We start from the raw sequence: 22,393 nt of genomic DNA, 5'->3' as shown, positions 1-22,393 counted from the left end.
ATTTTTTAAAATTTTACATATTCTGGGCAGGGCGCGGTGGCTCACGCCAGTAATCCCAGGACTTTGGGAGGCCGAGGCAGGCGGATCACGAGGTCAGGAGATCAAGATCATCCTGGCTAACACAGTGAAACCCTGTCTCTACTAAAAAAAAAAAAAAAAAATTAGCCGGGCTTGGTAGCAGGTGCCTGTAGTCCCAGCTACTTGGGAGGCTGAGGCAGGAGAATAGCGTGAACCCGGGAGGCAGAGCTTGTAGTGAGCCGACATCACTCCACTGCACTCCAGCCTGGGCGACAGAGCAAAACTCTGTCTCAAAAAAAAAAAAAAAATTACCTATTCTGATAGTAGTGTATTGATATCATATTGTGTATTTCATTTGCATTTCTCTAATGATGAATTGTATTTCATGCACTTATTTGCCACCTATCTCTTTCTGGTGCAGTATCTTTTCAAATGTTTTGTCCATTTACTTATTAGGTTGTTTATGTCATATAATTCAGTTGTAGGAATTCTTCACATATTCTAGATACCAGTTTTTTATTAGATGTAGAATTAGAAAATATTTTTTCTCATTCTGTAACTTATCTTTCATTTTCTTAGCAGTGCCTTGTGAAGAGCAGTTTTTAATTTTGATGAAGACTGAATTATCAAGTATCTTAGTCGGCTTGGGTTACTGTAACAAAATACCACAGACTGAGAGGCTTATCCAACAGAATTTTTCTCACAGTTCTGGAGGTCAGAAGTCCAAGATCGAGGTGGTAGTAGAGTAGGTGCAGGGTGAAGGCTGTCCTCTTGGGTTGCAGATGTCCACAATATCCCTGTGTGCTCTCAGGGCCATTCCTCAGTGAATGTCTGTGTATGGCAGGGGGCGGAGGCAGGGAGAAGGAGTGAGAGAGTGCTCTGGTGTCTCTTCTAATAAAGACACCAATCCTATTGGATCAGTGTTGCACCCTTACAATCTCATTTAAACTTAATTACTTCCATATAAGTCTCATCTCCAAATACAGCCACACTGAGGGTTAAGGATTCTACATATGAATTTTGAGAGGCAAAAACTCTCAGTCTACAACACTAGTTTTTTTTTTTTTTTTTAATTTTGTAGATTGTTCTTTTGGTGTCCTATTTAAAAAATTATTTCCTAACCCAAGGTCACAAAAGTTTCCTTCTGTATTTTATTGTTTTAGATTTTACATTTAGGTCTATGATCCATTTTGATTTAATTTTCATATCTCTGTGAGGTATGTATTGAAGTTCGCTTTTATATATGGATATCTAATTGTGCCAGCATCATTTATTAAAGAGTATTCCTTCCTCATTGAATTGCCTTTGGCAACTTTGTTTTAAATTAGTTGTCCATATACGTGTGGCTTTATTTCTGTTTCATAAACTGATTTCTCTAGCTTCATATTGATACCACACTCTGTTTATATAGTTTTATAACTCTTGAAATCTGGTCATACTAGTCCTTCAAATTTGTTCTTTTTCAAAGTTATTTTAGCTATTTTAAAATCTATGCATACCCATACATTCAGAATAAGACTTTCAATTTCTACTCCTCCCACACCAAAGTAAAACACTACTGGGGTAATGGTTCTGACTCATAAATGCTATATATATCACAATGTATTTAAGTTGTCTCTGATGTCTGTCAGCAATGTCATAATTTTAGTGTATATGCCTGTACATTTTTGTCAGATTTATCCCTAAATATTTTATATTTTTAAATAATGTGAAAGATATTTTTAAAAATTTCAATTTCATATTTTTTGTGTTTTATTGAAACATGATTGGCTTTTGTACATTGATCTTGTATTATGCAGCCTTGCTCAACTCAAATATGGGTTCTAAGAGTGATTTTGAAGGTTCTACCAGATTTTCTACATAGACGATCATGTTATCTGTAAGTAAAGAAAATTTCATGTTTCTTTCCAGTCTGGGGACATTTTATTTATTTTTCTTGCCTTATTATACTATATGTTACCTCCAATTAAATATTGAGTAGGAAGTTGGAGAGCAACCATTCTTGTCTTGTTTTCAATAAAATATTCAGTCTTGCACTATTTTGTATGATGCTACCTATGTATTTGTTTGTTTGTTTTTTAAATGTCCATTATCATATTGAGGAAGTTTCTTTCTATTTCTGGTTTTCTGAGAGTTGTTGTTGTGTTTTTTAAAATCAGGAATTTCTCATTTTCTTTTCTCTTAATTTCCCATATTCTTTTTTCCCCAGAATTTACTGAGATAATCAGTTGCTCTTCTGTTTTTTAGTTTATGGCAAATTGCATTGATTAATATTTGAATGTTAACCAGACCTTGCATTCTTGGCATACATCCTCACTTGATCATGATATACTATTATTTTTATATACTGTTGTGTTGATCTACTGAAATTTTCTTTAAAACATTTTTTATTTGCGAAGATGAGAAATACTAATCTGTAGTGTTATCTTCTTGTAATATTTTTGTCTGGTTTGAGTATCAGAGCAATACTGTCCTCATGGAATTAGTTGGTAAGGATTTCTTCAGTTTTCTGGAAGAGCTTACATAGAATTTGTATTATTTTATCTTCAAATATTTGGTAGAATTTATCATTGAAGCCACCCGAGACTGGGATATTCCTCAAGGGAAGAATGAGAGAAAGGAGAGAAAAGATGTATTTAACTACACATCCAATTGTTTTTAAATGATATAAGGCAATTTATGTTATTTACTTTTTCTTGAATGTGCTCAAGTAATTTGTCTTTTATGGAATCCATCCATGTCATCTAAGTTGTTAAATTAATTCATAAGATTATAAAATATTTTCTTATTATCCTTTTAATATCTGTAGAAACTTCAGTGACGCCAGCACTCTCATTTGTGATATTGTTAATTTGTGTTCTCTCTTATTTTCCTGAACAGGCTGGCCACAGTTATATCAATATACTGATCTCTTTCTCTCTCTCTTTTTAAATATGTCATTTGGCTGCATTGATTTCCTCTGTTTTTTTTTTCTGTTTTCTATTTCACTTATTTCTGTTTTTTAAAATTATTTCCTTTTTTACACTTATTTGGAATTAACTTGCTTCTATTTTTCTGATTTCTTAAAATAGAAACTGAGATAATTGATTGGGAATATTTTCTTTTTTACTAACAAAGGCATGTAGTGCTATACATTTTCCATAAGCACTGTTGTGTTTTCAGTTTTTATTTGTAAAAAATACTTTATTTTCTCTTTTGCTTTCTTTAGCCCAAGAGTTATTAATAAATATTTTATTTGGTTTTCATATATTTGAGAATTTCTCAGAAACTTTTATGTTAATTATATCTAATTAAATTCTATTACAGTGTGTATACTAAATTCTTTTCAGTGTATTAAGATATTTTATGATCTAGAGTATGATCTATAAGTGCTCTCTGTTTGCTTCAAAATAATATGTATTCTGCTGTTGTTGGGTGTAATGTTCTATAAATAGCAATTAGATTAGCTAGTTGATAGTGTTATTCAAATCTTCTGTATCCTTACTTAGGTTTCTATCGGTCTATTAAATATTAAGAGAGGATGTTGAAATCTTTGACAATAAACTGTAGATTTGCTTTTTTTCTTGGAAATTCTAAAAAGATTTAGGATGATTATATGCTCTTGATGAATTAATACAGTCATCATTATGAGTGACTCCTTGGTCTATGATAATATTCAGTGCTATAAAATCGACTTTCTCTAGGCCAGGTGCAGTGGCTCATGCCTGTAATCTCAGAACTTTGGGAGGCCAAGGTGGGAGGATCACTTGAGCCTGGGAGTTTACGACCAGCCTGGGCAACATAGTGAGACCCTGTTTCTAATAAATAAAAAAATAGCGGAGCATGGTGGCTCTTGCCTTTTGTCCCAGCTACTTGGGAAGCTGAGGTGGGAGGATCACTTGAGCCCAAGAGGTCAAGGCTGCAGTGACCCACACACTTCAGAGCAACAGAGCGAGACCCTGTCTCAAAAAAGAAAAATTAAAAATTGACTTCGTCTGATATAATATAGACATTCCATTTTTCTGGACTAGAATTAGCATTATATATGTTTTATCATCCTTTTGTTTTTCATCGATTTGAGTTTTTATATTTAAAGTGTATTCCTTTTAAGAAGCATATAGTTGATACACTCTTTTATATAAAAATAAAATGTGATAATCTCCACCTTTTAATTGGGATATTTACCCTAGTCACCCTTAATGTGATCATTGATAAGTTTAATTTTATCATCTTGCTATTCGAATTCTGTTTGCCTTATCTGTTCCTTGTTCTGTTTTGGTCTTTTTTTGTATTATTTTCTATTATTAGGTTTTTTGGTTAATTCATGGCTACAACTCTTGATTTTGTTATTTTAATTATTTCTTTAGAATATACTATATGTATATATATACACACATATATATTTAACTTATAACTTCCTACTTTCAAGTGATATTGTACCACTTAACATATAATAAAATAACCTTACAGTGGCATACTTCCATTTTACCCCTCCTGACCTTGGGATATTGTTGTCTAGCATTTTACATATATGTGTGCAGACATGTGTGTGTGTGTGTGTGTTTGTATTTTAAATACCATATTATTATTTTAATTTGAGCAGACAATTTAAAACATATATTAACATTTTTAAAAAATGTTTTCTCTTTACCCATGTAGTTACCATTTCTAGTGTTCTTCATTTTTTGCAGAGATCCATATTTAATCTGCTATTATTTCTCTTCTGCTTGAAGAAATCTCTTTAACATTTATTATATTGAGAGTCAGTTGGTGTTGAGTTCTCTTAGCTTTTGCATGTCTGAAAAAGTATTTGCCTTCGGTTTTGAAAGCTATTTTCATTGGATATAAAATTCTAGGCTGACAGTTTTTTATTTCTTTTAATACTTTAAACAATATTGCTTCATTCTCCTCTGCAGTGTTTTTGAAGATAAATTAGCTCTCATTCTTTTCCTTGTTCCTCTTTGTTTTCTCTGCCTGCTACGAAACTTTTCTCTTTACATTGCTTTTGAGCAATTTGACTATGATGCATGTGTACTTTTCTTTATTTTTCTTGTGCTTCTAGTTTGTTGAGTTTCTTGGGTCTGTGGTTTATAGGTTTTACCAAGTTTGAAAAGTTTTCACCCATTTTCTTTAAATACCTCCCCCAGTCTGCTCTGTTAGGGACTCCAATTGCACTGTATTAAGCCATGTAAACCTGTCCAATTGTTCAATAACCACTTTTATCATGATGTCTTATCTTATTTCTGCCACTTCTTATCCAGTGTATTTTTCATTTCATGCATTTTAGTTTTCATATCTAGAAATCTAGTTTAAATAGTTTTAAAAATATATTTTTATGTTTAAGTTTTAGCTTATATGGAATATAATTATTATAACTATTTGTGTTCCCAGTCTAACACTTGTTTCTGTTTGCCATCAGTTTCGATTCATTGATTTTTCTCCCCATTATGCATCATATTTTCCTGCATCATGCTTGATTAGTATTTGTTTGGGTGCAAGACATTGTGGATTTTGCTTTATTGGCTGCTGGATATTTTTATGTTCCTATAAATATTCTTCAGTTTTCTTCAGAAGAGATGGAGTAAAGTTACTTGGACATAATTTGGTCCTTTAGAGCTTGTTTTTAAGATTTGTTGATAGTGGCCAGAATGGAATTTAGTGTAGAGATAACTATTTCCCACTACTAATGCAAGATTCTTCTGAGTATTCTAAATAATGCTCCATGAAATAAAAGGCTTTCCAGTCTGCATATTTTTGGCTCTGTTGGAGCAGTCAGTACTGCTCCCTGTAATTTATTTAGGTAGTGATATTCCTGGCCTTGGTTAGTTTTTTTACACACATGTGCTAACCAGTACTCTGCTGCTTCCTCAAGGAGACACTCTGCATATCTCTGTAGTTCTTTCTTTCTGGGCATCACTCTCCTCTCTAGTACGCTTTCCAGTGAACTCAACCCACATTAGCGGCCCTGGACCCTCAACTGTGACTCCTCAATATCTAGTCTACGTGTCTCTGCCTTGTTTTCCCCTCCCTTTGCTAAAATGGTTCAAGACCATAAACTGAGGCAATTGCATAGTTTTTCTCATTTGTTTCCCATTTCTCAGGGATCACTGTCCTTTGTTGCTTGAGGGCCAGTGTGTCACAAATCATAATTTCATATATTTTTCCAGGTTTTTTGGTTGTTTCAGGTAGGAAGTATATCTAGCACCTAGCCAGAAGTGGAAGTCCCTCTCTGATTCTCTTTCATTTCTGCCTTTTGCACAATCTATTAGCTTTACCTGAAATAGTCTTTCCTCCATTCTTGCTATCATTTACACATATTTTGGATCTTTACTTAGTCATTTCTTCTCCTGGGTGATCTCCCAGGCTACCTTTCCTTAGTGCTCCTAGAGCACCTGAGGCTTACCCCTCCTTAATACCAATACTATTGAATATAATTGTCAGTTCTTAGTATCTTCTATTCTACTAGACTAAGGACATCTTGAAGGCATAATGAGAATGAGAATCACTTTCTTTTCACCATTACATCCTCTGGTCCTTGAACTGAACTTTGCATATATTCTTCAATATTTTTAAAAGTGCAAATAAATAAATGGGCTAACTCTTGATTGATTCCAACACAATATGTAAAACAGAGAAAATAAAAGAGACACATTTTGCTAAGGATATTTTACTCATATAAATTTGACCATATATTAGAATATTTGTATTTCCAGATACCAGGTGTGCATTCTCTAGCATGTTTTCAGACTTGCCAATCCCACACTAAGGTACAAGGATTGATGTGTGCCCAAGAGATTGCCTCCTAAATTGTCGAAAGCAATAGTAATTCAACAAGTCTGTGGATTGCTCCTTAGAAGAATTGACTAGTCTATTGATGGCTGTAGGGCTTTCACATAACCATAGAGTCAGAAATCAGAAACCCAAGCATAAGCACTCTGAAGAGCTATGTTAGTTTCCCCTTGCTTTGTTCAATGACAAGATGACAAAGGTAATGAGACATGCGGGGAGAAACAGTCTGATATAAACTGAAGGAAGGAAAAGAGGAAGCATCAAGATAGCATCAAAAATGAGATGCAAAACAATTCCTATTGAGAGTCACCTCTCCAATGTCAGGAAAAGTTATATAGACAAGGGATTACAACCTGGCTCCAAAACAATATAGAAGTTTGGGATTCCTCTCTGGATAGCAAACACATGAACCATCAAGGCTGTGCAATACAGAGTTTGTAAAAAATATCTGTAAAGAATTACCAGGTATCTAGTGAATGTGGCCCCAATTGTGAAGAATATATGGACTCACAAGGGGATAGTCCAAATTTTAGTAGTTTTTGTTAAAGAGAGCCCCAAACCCTATTTCCCTGCAATTTTCAACCACTAGTAGTGGCATTTTTTTTTTCTACTGGATCTGTAGAGTATTTCTGCTATTTTCTTTATATGCCTACTTTCAGTGTTGTTCTAGAGCCAACTTATACCCACGTGTATGAGCCAATCTTCACAGTGCCATGTTCAGTGCCTTCACATAGGCAGTTGGAAATTAGACATGATGAAAGTATCCACACCATAGGAACCAGCTACGCAAGTCAGGGCTCTCCCCAAGGAAAGTCAATTGTTATACATTTATCAGCATACCACTGACTACATTTTAAATATTTCTTGACAATGACGGTTTTAAGAATAACAACCTCAGGATCACGTGCCCACATTGAGCTGAGCTCTATATTGCAGGACAGCTGACACCTTCAGCCTGTGTTCTCCAGGCTTCTGTGTCAGTGAATTTCTGGCTTGATTTGGTCATTTGCAGACACTGAAGAGAGATTGGGGTAGCCAATAGAAGGGAGGCAGATCTTTCTACCCCCTTGTTTCTGTCTGTGTCCCTTGCAGCGTCTACATCTCTTCTTTGGTTTCAGCTTCTGACAATGAGACCTGCCATGGAGCCAGCTTCTGAAATAATCCTAGTCTTCTAGCTGTAGCATCACCACTCCCTCCCTCTTTTCCCTCTGGTCTAAGGGAGTGGTGGCTCGTGCTATTGCTAATGTCAGAATTGCTATCTTCTATTAGGCTTCTAAGCTGGTTCATCACCTGTGCAAATTCTGCATTAAAGTCATTCTGCTTAAATATTCATGTGGCATCTGAATCCCAGTTAGGTCCTGACTAATATAGTGCTTGAGTAATTGGCCAAAGTTCACATAGCAATTAGTTAAGCTTGGATTTCAAGCCTTATGTTTGACTGTGGAAACTCTGCTATATACAGTAGTCTGATACCACCTTCTAATCTTGTTCTGGTTTTCAGATTCTCTATACAGGCTGACCCCTATGGCCTACTAAGAATGAATAATTAAAACTCTAGGAATCCCAGGTAAGTCTTTCAGGCAAAGGTCCTGGAGAAATGTCCTCACTGATGTCCACATTGAAAGCTTTCAGTTATTCATCTCTGCTTCAAATTGGAAAACAAAGAAGATTAGATGAACTTTCCAAAGCTCTTTTCCTGTAGGAGTATATAATCTTGCTGTGTCTAAAAGCAGTGCTATTTTATGTTTTTGGCCACAAATACAGACTTAATGTGGCATATAATAAAACATAATAAAATACGTGACATATTATAGGCTCATGCTCCTCTGTTATATTTGTGGTTGAATTAGAACTATGTCATAAGGTTACCAGGGAATAAGAAAACATTACAGACACGTGCACTTGGTCATCATTACCCTGTTTTTCTGATCCCTGTAACTCGCCCTTCTTAGCTCTCTTTGGTCAAAATCGTGCCCAGTTTTCTTGTCTATCTTGTTGACAAGTGCAGACTCTATCACTGTCCCCAGTTGTGCCAAATCCATGATAGTTATCACCTACTTTGTTTTACCCCATCAGGTGCTCTGGTGGTGAATATAAAGACAGTCCCCTGAGAAACCAGGGTTTTAAATTCCCGCTGTGAGACGTCTATGTGTATCCCTGTGACAAACTTGATTTTGCCCTCTTCTTGTTTTGTTTCTACAGGGTTTGTTGGAGTTCAGGGTTGTCGCTGAGTGGTGGAAATATTGTTCTCAACCAAAAAAAAAAAAAAAAATGTGGGGATTACATGCCAGTACCATCCACCCCTGCATTAGAAGTTTTCATCGAAGAGCTTCATTTCACAAGGTACTATTTTTCCTTTCATAGCATTTGCCACAAATGCATTTTATTTATTCATTTATTCCTTGTTGTTTCTCTCCCTTCACACTGTTAACTCCATGAGAACAGAGTTTATTTTCTCCACCTCTGTATATAGGAGAGTGTCTGGCATAGTAGGGAAGCCAGAGATATTTGTTGCTTGAACAAAAGTAAATGCATAAGTTGAGTGAACAGATGGCTGCAGGTCAAACATTATACAATATCGAACACCTTCTCTCTGTGCACTTCTGAGCCCTCCCCACCTTTCCTCAGACAGGAATGAGAAGCACAGGCAGTCCCAAGCTAGTCCTCGGCCATAGTTTGATCTCTGCCATATACTAAGCAATGTTGCTTCTGACTTTTCTTCGGGAGCCCTTATGGTCCATGAATTCTAGATGAAATGAAATCTGGAAAAAGAAGATTGTTTCTACATGTTAGAGGTAGAATAAATGAAAAAGGAAAAATATTGTGTATTAGGAATAAACAATGATAGCAACAATGGTAGTATCATATTCGCCCTGGGTTTAAGTCAATTCTTTATCACTTATAAGCTGTGTTACCTAAGACAAGACATTTAGCTGCTCCAACTTCCATTCTTTTTCTCACATGTAAAATGTCAGTGATAATTGTACCTTCTTTTACTAATTCATGCATTTCTGAGGGATTTAAAGGTGGGTTTTCCAGGCATGTTCTCACTCCCAAGTGACCCCTTTTTTCCCTCACCTTTTTCTCTTCTCTCACAAAAGCTCCAGGTTTTTAATACATTGCCCTCACCCAACTTACAAAAAATAATTCTCTCAAGTGTCACTTTCCCTCAATGATGGGAGTGACTTGTGATTGATTTATGTCCTTCCCAGGGTAATTTATATTTTTAAATTGGACAAAGGGATATAATTTCAATGGTAGAACTTTAGGGTGGGTTATAAACTCATTGGGAAGTTGTCTATGTCCTGGGAGCATACATAGAGTCTCTCAAATTAAATCACAAATAACTGCCTTTCTCATAAGTATCTAAGGCCAAGTCTGCTTGGTTGATCAACCTCTGAACATGTGGTACATAGCACTCACCAAAGGTGCTATTGATATGTTCTGATGTACACTGCGAATGTTTCCTAAATAGATAAAGTGCAAGGCATGTGATAGGAGTTCTCAATAAATAATAACCCATGTCCTTCATGGGGCACAGTGGTCCCACTGTCCGGTCTGGCTGCTTGAAAAGTAAACTTGAAGAAAGTTATAACTCGTAAGGAAAGTAAAATTATCTAAGGTTAGACTATGGGCCTCAGATGACAGCTGAGGGCAGAGCTTTTCCAAGAAAGGATTATTCATGGAATAATAATTCAATTTAGGATTCCAACTGTAACATCTCAGATAATTTATTCAAGTTTATGTAATTTAAGGTCCGGAAAGCACATTATTAATTGTATTGTTTACAATCATCTAGACTTTGCTGTGGTATCACATTCACCCTCCAATCTAGGTGACTTAACAGTATCAGCTGTTTTTTCTTTAAATAAAGTTACTTTTGTTTATATTTAAGGTATATGACATGTTGTTTTAAGCTACACATATACTACAGTGGAACAGATTAATATGTCCATTATCTCATACATTTACCCATCACTGCCTTCCATGTCAAAAGCAGCAATAATCTAGTCATTGAGCAAAACTCCAACACAATACACTGTTATTAACTATAGCCATCATGTTATAAGTTAGATTTTTCAGCTTGTTTATTCTATATATTTGCTGCCTTTTATCCTTTGAACTGCATCTCCCCATTTTCTCCCCCAACTGTGGCCATAGTCATGATTCTCTATATTCTCTATCTCTGTATGTTTGACTTTTTTTCTCCCTTTCATTTTCTGTTCTTTCTTTTTTTTTCTTTTTTTTCTTTTTTTTAGATACCACATATAAGTGAAGTCATGCAATATTTTTTCTTTCTGTGATCTGCTTATTTAAATTAGCACAATGTCCTTCAGGTCCATTTACGTTGGGGCAGATGTCAGCATCTCCACCCTTTTTAAGGCTGCATAATATTCCATTGTGTATCTGTACCATAGTTTCTTTATCCATTCATTCATCGATAGACAACTAGGTTATTTCCATATCTTGACTATTGTGAATTTTGATGCATTGTGGATAAGTTTATGAGATGGTGATTTCATTTCTTTTGGATATGTACCCAGAAGATGAATTGCTGAATCATAGGTAGTTCTACTCTTAATTTTTTTAGAAATCTCCACACACTTTTCCATTGGCCACACCAAGCTACATTTCAAACAGTGTACAAGGGTTTCCTTTTCTCTACATCCTCGCCAAAACTTGTTATCTATTCTTTGTTTGACAATAGCTATTCTAACAAGTGTGATGTTGTAGCTCATAGTGGTTTTGATTTGCATTTCTCTGATAATTAGTGAGGTTGAAAACCTTCTCATGTACCCATTGCCCATTTAATGGTGTCTTTAGAGAAATACATATTCAAGTCCATTGGCTACTTTTTAATCAGGTTATATGTTTTCTTAATATTGAGTTGTATGAGTTTTTATAAATCCTGGATATTAATCCCTTATCTGATATATGGTTTGCAAATATTGTTTTCCAATACATAGGTTGCCTTTTCATTTCATTCTTTACTTTGTTGTGCAGAAGTTTTTTAGTTTGATGTAGTTCCATTTATTTATTTTTGCTTTTATAGCCTGAGCTTTTGGTGTTGTAGCCAGAAAATCATTGCCAAGGCCAATGTCAAGGAGATTTTCCCCTATGTTTTCTTCAAGGAGTTTTATGGTTCCAGGTTTTATGTTTAAGTCTTTTATCCAACCTGAGTTGAGTTTTACGTATAGTGTAAGAGAAAGTTTCCATTTACATTTTGCATATAAAAATCTAGTTTCCCCAGCAACATTTATTGAATAGACTATGTTTTCCTCATTGTGTCTTTCTGTGCCCTTATCAAAAATTAATTGGCCATATATGGTTAAATGTACTTCTGGGATCTCTCTTCTCTTCCATGGTCTATGTGTCTGTTTTTGCTACTGTTTTGATTACTATAGCTTTGTGATATAATTTTAATTAGGAAGTGTGATTTCTTAAACTTTGTATCGTTTCTATTTTCCTTCAGAATTTCATTAGCCATTTGGAGTCTTTTGTGGTTCCATATGAATTTTAGGATTATTTTTTCTATTTCTATGAAGAATGCCATTGGAATTTTGATAGGCATTGCATGGAATCTATGTATTATTTCAGGTACTATGGACATTTTAACAATATTCTTTCAATACACAAGCATGGAATATATTTTCATTTATATTTGTCCTTTTTAATTTATTTCGCCCATATTCTCTAGTTTTCAGTGTACAGGTCTTTCACCTCCTTGGTTAAATTTATTCCTAAGTATATTATTTTTGATGCTATTGTGAATGGGATTGTTTCTTGATTTTTTTGGCTACATTGCCATTTGTATATAGAAAAGCCATGGATTTTTGTATGTTGACTTTATATTCTGCAATGTTACTGCATTCATTTATCAGATCTAACATAGCAGTTTTTTGGTGGAGGCTTTGGGGTTTTCTAGATATAGGATCATGTAATATTATCTGAGAAAGATAATTTTACCTCTTCCTTTCTGTTTTGGATACCTTTTATTTATTTTTCTTGTCTAATTACCCTTGATGGTATTTTAGTACTCTGTGGAATAGAAGTTCAAGAATAGGCCTTCCTGTCTTGTTTCAGACCTTACAGGACAAGCTTTCAGTTTTCTCTATGATTATCATGTTAGCTGTGAGTTTTTCATAAATGGTCTATATTATGTTAACAAACTGTCTTGGTCCATCTAGTGTCACTATAGAGGAATACCTAAGGCTGGGTATTTATGAAGAACAGAGATTTATTTGTCTCATGGGTCTGCAGGCTGGACAAGAAGCATGGTGCCAGTATCTTCATCTGGTGAGGGCCTCAAGCTGTTTCCAATCATGGTAGAAGGGAAGCGGAGCCAGTGTGTGCAGAGATCACATGACAACAGAGGAAGAAAGAGAGAGAAGGGGAAGATGCCAGGTTGTTTATAAAAACCACCTCATAGAGGAATTTACAGAGTGAGAACTCATTCACCCCCTCCCCAAAGGAGGACATTAATCTATTTTTGAGGAATCTGACCCCGTGACCCAAACACCTCCCATTAGGGCCCCACCTCCAACATTGGAATCAAATTCAGCATGAGGTTTGGGAGAACAGACATCCAAACTATAGCAGAAACTATCTATACCCAACATTTTAAGAGTTTTCACAAGAAAGTATGTGGAGTTTTGTCAAATGTTTTTCTAAATCAATTTGATATCATATTTGATTTATGTCTTTTAGTCTATTAATGTGATTGATTTATGTATGTTAAGCCAGTCTTGCATGAAAGGGCTACATTCTACTTGATCATGATGTATAATCTTTTTTAATCTGTTGTTGAATTCAATTTGCAAATTTTTTGTTGAGGACTTTTGCAACAATATTCATCAGAGATATTGGCCTGCAGTTTTCTTCTGGTACCTTTGCCTGGGCCTAAAATGTCAAGGTGATTTGTTCCTCACAAAATGTGTTAGAAAGTATTCCTTACAGCTTTATTTTTTGAAAGAGTTTAAGAAGTATTAATATTAATTATTTTTTGAAAGTGTGGTAGAATTCAGCTGTAAAGCCATCTGGTCCTGGGTTTTTCTTTGTTGGAAGGTTTTTAAATTACTACTTCAATCTGCTTGTCATTCATCTATTCTGGCTTAAGATTTATTTCTTACTATGTTATTACCTATTGTGGATTAGCAGGGCCTCTGTTCCATGTAGTTACCCAGAAACCCAGGCAAACAGATTCAAAATGCACAGCTTAGCCTTGGAAGTGACAGATGTCACGTGTGCTCATGGATCACCTCCCAGAATTAGTTACATGGCCTTCTTAACTACAAGGGGGGCAAGTAAGAAGGAGAATTGAACCAGCTATTAATTGTAATATCTTCCTTAGATATCTTCTAGGTAGTGTTTTTTAACCCATTTGGGACCATGAACTCATGATACATCTCATAAAAATTCCGGGCCAGCTACACAGAAAAATGTAGATGATTATATACAACTTTTGCATTGAATTTCATTGAGTTTACAGATTCTACTACAACTCAGCCAGGAGGCCACTACCAGAAGTGTGGTGGAGCTGACTTAGAGTGGACAACAGGAGTCTTCTGTAAAATTGTTAAGAATTTTGCAAGACAATTGATGTGTTGCTAGCTCCAAATGGCCACAGTGGGAATGCTGACACAGTGGAAATTGGCGAATGCTACCAAATCAACTCTGCCTAGTGCTTCTTTTTCTGGAAAATTGTTTGCTAAACATTTCCTGTAACACCAATGCCACTAGTGGCCTCCACTTGTTTGCATCTAAGCAACTCCTCCTCTAGATCAAAGATCTCAAATACACATCTCACATGTCTATTCTGCTTGACTGGTAAGCAATGTCTTAGAGCACTGTCTTGGGAAGGAATCTGAGATATCAAAGTGTACTAGCATCAGATAGCAATATCTGACTTAGATGTTAGAGTCCAGAGTGGAAGCAAAAGTGTGTAATTCTTTCTTTTTTAAAACAATGGCCTTATTATGCATATAGAGATACTAAAGCCCAACAGGATTAAATGAAATGACCTGCTTCAGCTCAATTAATGTTGTCAACAACTCTGGATTTCTATACTGTATCCAACCCTGTCTCTGAATCAGTACTGAACAACTAGTTTCTGCAGCAGCCTGACATGACCATTGGTTACCCAGGAGACAGTGATCTGAGATGGTTATCACTCCTCTACTAATTTTATTATCTTGACCTTTGAAGGTCATAGCTTTTTCTATGGGTGTGCATTTTTTCTAGTACCATTTAGCTGAGAAGTATTGAGGCAAGTCTTCTTCTGGGAGAAGAGATTGTGTTTGATATAAGCTGGACATCTGAGATTTCCATCTGAACTGGAGATTAGATTTGGAGATCAAAGAACAGGGCCAAATCATTCTTTAAATTAGTAAGTACCTTTTGGCATGACAACCCCTTGGCACTAGCCAACAAATTAGGGGTGATCCATTTTATCACCTGTGCACTTTAAATTAATTAAATACATTAACCTTGAGTGTTTGCATTTTTCTAATGTACAATTATAAAACATACACAAAAAGATTAAAGTTAAAGGAATAATTTTAGCTAGAGACCTGGTTAAGGTAGTGCCCTGTACATGGCTCCCAGGTTATCTAAAATGAGGCAGCCATGGATGCTTCTTATGTGTGACAACATGACGCCCAAAGTATTTAACAAACCAGTAGGAATGACCCCCTCATACATTGGGGTATATATGTGCCAGCCATTCTGGGTACCCAATTGAGGGCACACTAAATTAGCCGCCTCCCACTGTTTACCTGGTGTGCTCCTAATTGAACTATGACCATCGGAGCATAGAAGAAAGGGCCATAAAGGTGTTGTTGCATTGATTAATGATAGTCATTGATGAAGTGTCAAGTCGTTACTGCTTGACCAACGCAGGACACAGTACCTGCCCTCCAGCAGCTCATAACCTGTGGATGATGTCCTTGTTCTACATGCAGAGAGATGGGGAAATCGTGCTACTCTGGTCCCCAGAATTCCCAGTCTCCCTTCAACAGATGGCCCATGTCCCTGACAAAGGGGATCTTGCTACTCCTCTTATTTTACATCCTAGAAGGAGCAAGAAAGGGAGAGTTGAAGAATGTTGTTGCAATGCCTTCATTCTTCAGAAAAATTAGATCCACAGAGGGGAAGTAATCTTCCCAAGATTGCACAGCTACTTTATTTTACACAAGTCAATGCAGAGACCCAGTTTTCCCAGCTTCTAGTCCAGTGTGCTAATCAGTGGCATTTTAAACAGAGTTGAAATTATCTAAAATTTTGTTGGAAAAAAATGGCACAATTATGCCAGTTTTCATACTACTCATTTACAATCAAATAATCACTTTGTTTATGAGGAACGTGTTTTTTTTTTCCTGATGATTTCTATTCGTTATTGTTGATTTGACTGCTTTGCATTTATGTTTTTGACTTGGCCGTCTTTTTCTTTAATATTCTGGTTTCTACTAGTCATTACCGTGAAAGAAATTAGGACAGAGACTGAAAGAATAATTAACTGCAAATACACATTCATGCTTATGGTATTTTTGTTTTTCAAGGAATTTTCCACTCTCATTTCCTCAGTTCATTTTCAAAGAAACTTTATGAGGCAGATTGACTATTACGACGTGACCCATTTTAGAGTTCATCAGTTAGGTAGCATTCACAGCATCACACAAGCATTTAGTAACCAAGCAATGACTAGGACCAGTTTTCATGGCTTCCAGTCCAATGTTCTTTCTATGATACAAAGGCATAATATCTGCTCTAATATCTGAGTAATACCTACCAGCCTAAATATTTAAATGCAGGTTCCCAGAAGAGGTCATTAAAGTCATAATTAAATAATAACAAAATCTCCTTTTGTTATTTAGAAATACGTTTCTAAACTTCACTTCCTACTTATCTGGGGCATTTTCAACACTGGGCTCAAGGTAAAAATCCATCAATATGCGTCAAAGGGTTCACATTCATAATCATGTACCATTTTTTCCATAGAAGTTTATCTCAAGTTCTCATTCATAATATGACTATTTAATAATTCTGGGCACATTTCTAATCAGTTGCCAAACCTAGAACAGACTAGGATTGAATGGAGGATGGGAGTGAGAAAAGGTGGGTGGAGTGATTATACTGCAGCAATGACTGTGGTAACAATAAGAAGTGATAGCTGGGAAGGTAACAGCAAGGGGGAGAATTTGAAAAATTTGGGAAGAAAACGAAACTGAAAGAAGGTAGTTGCTCTCCAAATACCTAGTAGCCCAGTTCCATTTTCTGAACCTTGTTAGATCCTCCAATCTTACAGATAACCCCGAGCCATTAAGAGCAGTTTCATTTAAGTTCATTAAGATTAAGAAAATGCAGGGAGGTAGATTGTCACCCATCATAGAAATGTTTCAATCCCACTTGCTCAAGACTAAACCAAAACAAATATGTTTGTGTGTGTGTGCGTGCGCGTGTGTGTGTGTTTGATGCTTTATGGCGTATAAGCAAATAAAATCAGTGTGTCTTTTGCTGTTGTTGCTTTTTAATTAGGAGGCAGAGGAATAAACTTCTGTTACCTGGAATTGCCCCCTAAGTGGAAAACATCCTTTGCCTACAATAGCAGATAAATAAGGCATTAGTATCTGTTCTCTTCTATATTCTCAAAGGCTACCTTATCTCCCAGGATACAAAGAGATGGAATCAGACAGCCTGAGAACTTTGCCCTCCTGTCAGAGCTGGAACCATCACTGTCACAGTGCACACATCTGGTGCTTTATGCCCAAATACAGATTGGTCATGGTCTGTAGTATTTCCCAGAGCAGAGGCTGACTTTGGCAGCTGGTCCTGGAAGAGCAGACAGCCTGGAGGCTAGGGGCATAAGGCAGAAGGAAGGAGCAGTTCAGAGGGTCACTGCATGACAGCCAAGGCCCTTAGGAGGCTGGCAGCCATCAGGGCAATTCAGAGAGTGCAGTCCTGAGGTTGACTGCCACAAACCGTGACTTCCCACTTGGGCTTGCTCAAAAGAGGACTTACTGGGTATTTTTGCTCTTCTGCTTGCTTTTTGTGGTTGCATTAACTTCAGTATGCCTACCCACAACAACCTTGTTTCTGGGATTATTAACCACCAGTGGCCACTGGGGTACTACAGTAACTGTGCTAGCTGCAATCACCGCAGATCTTTGCCAGTCCGGTTTCTTCTTGGTACTCGAGGTTGATCCCAAACACTAGTAGAAGAGACTGATCCTGATGATGCTACCTAATGCTGCCTTCACCCTGCAGCCCAAACAATGTCCTAAGTCTTTGATGCTCTATGTTTTTTTCATAATAGCGTTTGAAATTATCTTACTGTTTATATAATTCTTTACTGTTTCTCTCTTCCTCCATTAAGGTAGAACCTGTCTGTTCTGTTCACTGCTGCATCACTGTACAAATCCCTGCTTAGGACACAGCAGGTGCTTAATAAGCACATGTAGGAAAATGATGGATGAATAAATGGATACATTAGGATTACTCTTGTTTTTCTCACCAAGTTTCTTTTAATTAACACTTGTAGAGTACAAGACATTGAGGATGCCACTGTGAGTCACAGGAAGGCTAAAGGACTGTCCCAGTTCAAGCAGCTTCCTTGTTGTGTGCAGGTCCATTTTAGGAAGACAAAAACAACTATTGGATACAATAAGCTCTGGTAATGTTAGTGACATGCATGGGAACCTCTTGTCTTTAGTGAACACTCTTTGTACTTCATCGTCTGTGCACAGGTCTTTGATGGAACAACAGAAGAGACAGGGCTCATCTGACTGATCCAAGGAGCAAGGACACCCAGGACTTATCTTTAGATCTCACCTCACCTGCCTGAGCAAGCCAGTGAGAATGGGATGTAAGGAGTCAGCTCTAGAGGTCTAAAGAATCATCTAACAGGGAAAGCTGAATGTATGGACATTCTGCGGTCTTCTGCCACCCAGAAGTACAGGGCAAGATGTCCAGAATGTGGATCCTATCTCTGACCTTATCCCATTTTTTCAGTTATTCTCAGCAGTCACTTTTTTGCTTGTAAGTATAGAGACGCTCACCTTACTCATAATACAATCTAAAGATCTTCCATGACCTCTCTGACCTGCAGGATCTCCCTCTAATGCCTCTCTTACCCTTCCCTTCTCTTGAGCTTTGCTTGACATTCCTGGTATCTCTGCCAAGGCCACTCTCCTCCCTGAGTACTGCTTGGCTCACTCCTTCATTTAACTTTCACTTTGACTCAAGTTACCATGTTTTCAGAGATATTTACATATACTTCACAAGTATTCCTACTTATGATGGTTTTTTGTGTATCAACTTGACAGGGCAAAGGGATGTCTAGATAGCTGGTAAAACATTGTTTCTGGTTATGTTTGTGAGAGTGTTTCTGGAAGACGTTAGCATTTGAATGACTAGACAGAGCACAGAAGATCCACCTTCACCAATGTGGGTGACCATCATCTAATCCCTTGAGGGCTAGAATAGGACGACGACAACAACAACAACAACAAAAGAAACCACAGCAAATTTACTCTTTCTGTTTGACTCGGACACTCTGTCTCCTCCAGCTTGGGGACACTGGTGCTCCTGGTTCTCAGGCCTTTGAAGCCAAACCAGCAGGGTTTACAACATTAGCTCCCCTGGTTTTTGGACCTTTGGACTTAGGCTGAATTATGGCAGTGGCTTTCCTGGTTCTCCACTTGGGGATGGCAGATCATGGGACTTCTTGGCCTCCATAATTAAGTGAGCCAATTCCCAAGCTGAAGAATAAAATTCAATAGAAAAACTTGACTTTTGCACCATTTTATTTTGGCAGCCATTCTCAGACATAATCTCATTTTATCCTCTTTCTTCAACAAATTCCTCCTCTGATGCTGCTGAATACTTATTTTCACAATGATACTATAGAGAAAGGAGTCACCTCAGAGCATCCATTCAGCCAATCTTTATTCTTCACTTTTTTCATTCCCAGGCCAAACCTTCAATCTATTCTCTGATTCAGCTCAGAGGAAGGCAGGCATGTGTTTACCTGCAGCTGAGAGTCAAGCAGGAAGCAGGGCAGTTGAACTGCCTCCCTGTTGTTACACCTGAGCTCTTTCTACACTGGGTACTATATGGAATGATTCATTTGAATGGGTATTTTCCCGTGGTATTGACTGACATCTACACCATTAGTGTGCTCAATGATGACATAGAACTAATTTATATATAACTTGATAGTGTGTTCTTCCAACCTCCTTGCTCAGCAGAAAATTTTAGGCTAATTCTTCTTAGTTCCATTTTGGTGTTAAAGGAAGTCTTGGGCAGTCCACTAGTGCTTCCATCTCCAAAGAAGATATTCAAGGCAAAGTTTATGTTTCTGCGTGAGTAGGTGAGGGCTTACATTGGTCCAAACCGTCATATTTGTGGTTATTCATGGAAGAAAGTTTTGCTGGGGTTGGTGGTTTGTTACATCCCCAGGAGCAGAGTTGAACATCATTTCAAAGTGGACACTTCATGAGTAATGGGCTTCCCACTGTTGGTGGATAAGTTCCTCTGGAGGGCAATGAGGGGAACCATCTGTAGTGAGGCAGCTTCCTAATCATTGTCATTCTTTACCTCAGAGATGGAGGTTTATCTTGTCCTTATACTGTTATCTCCCCAGTCTCTGTGCAACTACATGTCTCCTTCTTTGGCCTCTGTCATTTATCAGTCTCTGCAAAGGGAGGCTTGTATCTTCCTATCTAAGCAGTTTGCAGAGCATTTGTCATTGTTTCCACAGTGAGTCACTACCCACTGTATATATGTAGAAGAGAAGGAATGGACCCTTAGGATATAATTGAAATAATTTAGTGGGTGTGGGGGACAAGCTGTTTGATTCTGGAGAATACTTTATATGAATAATTTTAGTAATGGAAGATGTTGTTCTCAGAGTCAAAATTAGAGTGGTTTAGACTCTGATGAGCCTAACAAAGTGACATTACTGTGAAGTCCCATCCAGTACAGTAGGATCCCATCTAATACTGAGTTCATGGAAAGCTCTCAACAGATGAAGGCATCATGCCAATTGGTCAAGTCAAGAAACACTACCTGGAGAATTACTGTTTACCTAGAATTGTTTCTGTTTGAAGAGATGATTTAAAACATAATATAGAGCCAGACGTGATGGTCCACACCTATAGACTCAGCTGCTCAGGAGGCTGAGCCAGAAGGATCCTGTAAGCCCAAAAGTTTGAGGCTGTAGTGCGCCCTATGATGCCATAAATGGAAACTTCCATGACCTGACACCTTTGCTTTCTGATGGTTCAATGTACATAAACTCTGTTTCATAAATACAATTATTGAAAATATTGTATATAATTACTGTTAAGGTATGTGTATGGGATATGTATGAAACATAAATGAATTTCATGTTTAGATTTGTGTCTCATCCCCAAGATATCTCATTATGCATATGCAAATATTTCTAAATTCAAAAACATCCAAAATTGATAACACTTCTGGTTCCACATATTTCAGATAAGGGATACTTAACCTGTATTTCATTTAGACAATGCATATTATTTTAAGATATCTGAAAAATCCCTCAATTAATTTACATGTTAGGTTTCTTCTAAATCTGAGTCTGTTATAAACCCTGTATGGTTTATATAGACTAGAGGCTAGACTGGCCAAACAAGGTACTTTAAAGACATAAGACAACAGGCTATCACTATCAGAGTTCTATGTCAGCAATGGTGCAGAACTAGAGGGCACTTTCTTTGGAAGAAGCTTAGGAGTCTGTCCATTGTCTGGAATCTAGCACTTTTATGTTCTGGTTTAGAAAGCACGTTATACGCGTTGGGCTTGATGCCACATGGGAATATAGCAAGAGTGAGAAAGTACACGGATGGTGGGAGGTGTAAAATACTTCCTGAAGACCAGGTGATTTGAACATCATTTCCACTCCAGAGAAATCAAGGGCCAGTGCCATTATCATTTCCTCAGGGAAGATGCAGATGCATTTATTTTTGTAATAAATTAGATGATTTCATTGCATCCTGCAAAGTCAAAGGACTTCTCTTCAAATTCATTTTATCACATGAAAAAACAGACTATTGATTAATTATGCAACCAGTAAGGCTATTTTCCCTGAACCAAACACTAAATTCTTTCAGCACTGATAACATGGTTTTCAACTCAACTCTATTTCACAAACTATTTGAGCACTTAATATGTGCAAAGGGCTGTTTGTTTTCAAGCTTTGTCCTAGTGAAGGGATTATTAGAAGTTGCAGAGACTCTGTCATCTGGAAATCAGAGGCAGTGGAAAGCTACAGGAAACAGGAAGTGGGAAAAAGCCTTACACCTCACAAGAGGAGCAAGACAACCCAAGTTGTGTGCCCACAACCACAGCAAATTCAGCACTCAAGCCTGAGGGTAGTTCTCAGTATTTCAAAGTCAGGCAAAGGTAGGGTGAGCATGGACGAAGACCAAATCCCTGTGAATTATGAGTTAACAGGCACCTCTGCAAAGAGTTGGTGTTTCAGGCAAAATTCCCTCATAAAAAGTAATGTTCTGTATGGACACATAGACACTAAGAAGCCCCCAAGGAGAAGAGGAGCTGATAACAGCTTGGGTGCAACCAGTAGATA

At 37.1% G+C, this 22,393-nt stretch overlaps 1 long non-coding RNA gene across 1 annotated transcript in view; it reads right to left on the bottom strand.

The window, feature by feature from the left end:
- Positions 1-9,199: 9,199 nt before the first annotated feature.
- The window catches only part of LOC105370955 (uncharacterized), a 56,982-nt gene continuing 43,788 nt past the window's right edge, over positions 9,200-22,393 (bottom strand). Inside the window, exon 3 of the long non-coding RNA XR_932582.2 lies at positions 9,200-9,548. This is a non-coding gene — a long non-coding RNA (uncharacterized LOC105370955). The remainder of the gene's footprint in view (positions 9,549-22,393) is intronic.

Source organism: Homo sapiens, chromosome 15 (genome assembly GCF_000001405.40).
Source record: "Homo sapiens chromosome 15, GRCh38.p14 Primary Assembly".
Taxonomy (NCBI): Eukaryota; Metazoa; Chordata; class Mammalia; order Primates; family Hominidae; genus Homo; species Homo sapiens.
Note: the sequence above shows the minus strand (reverse complement) of the source record. Positions and strands in the feature narration are given on the sequence as shown.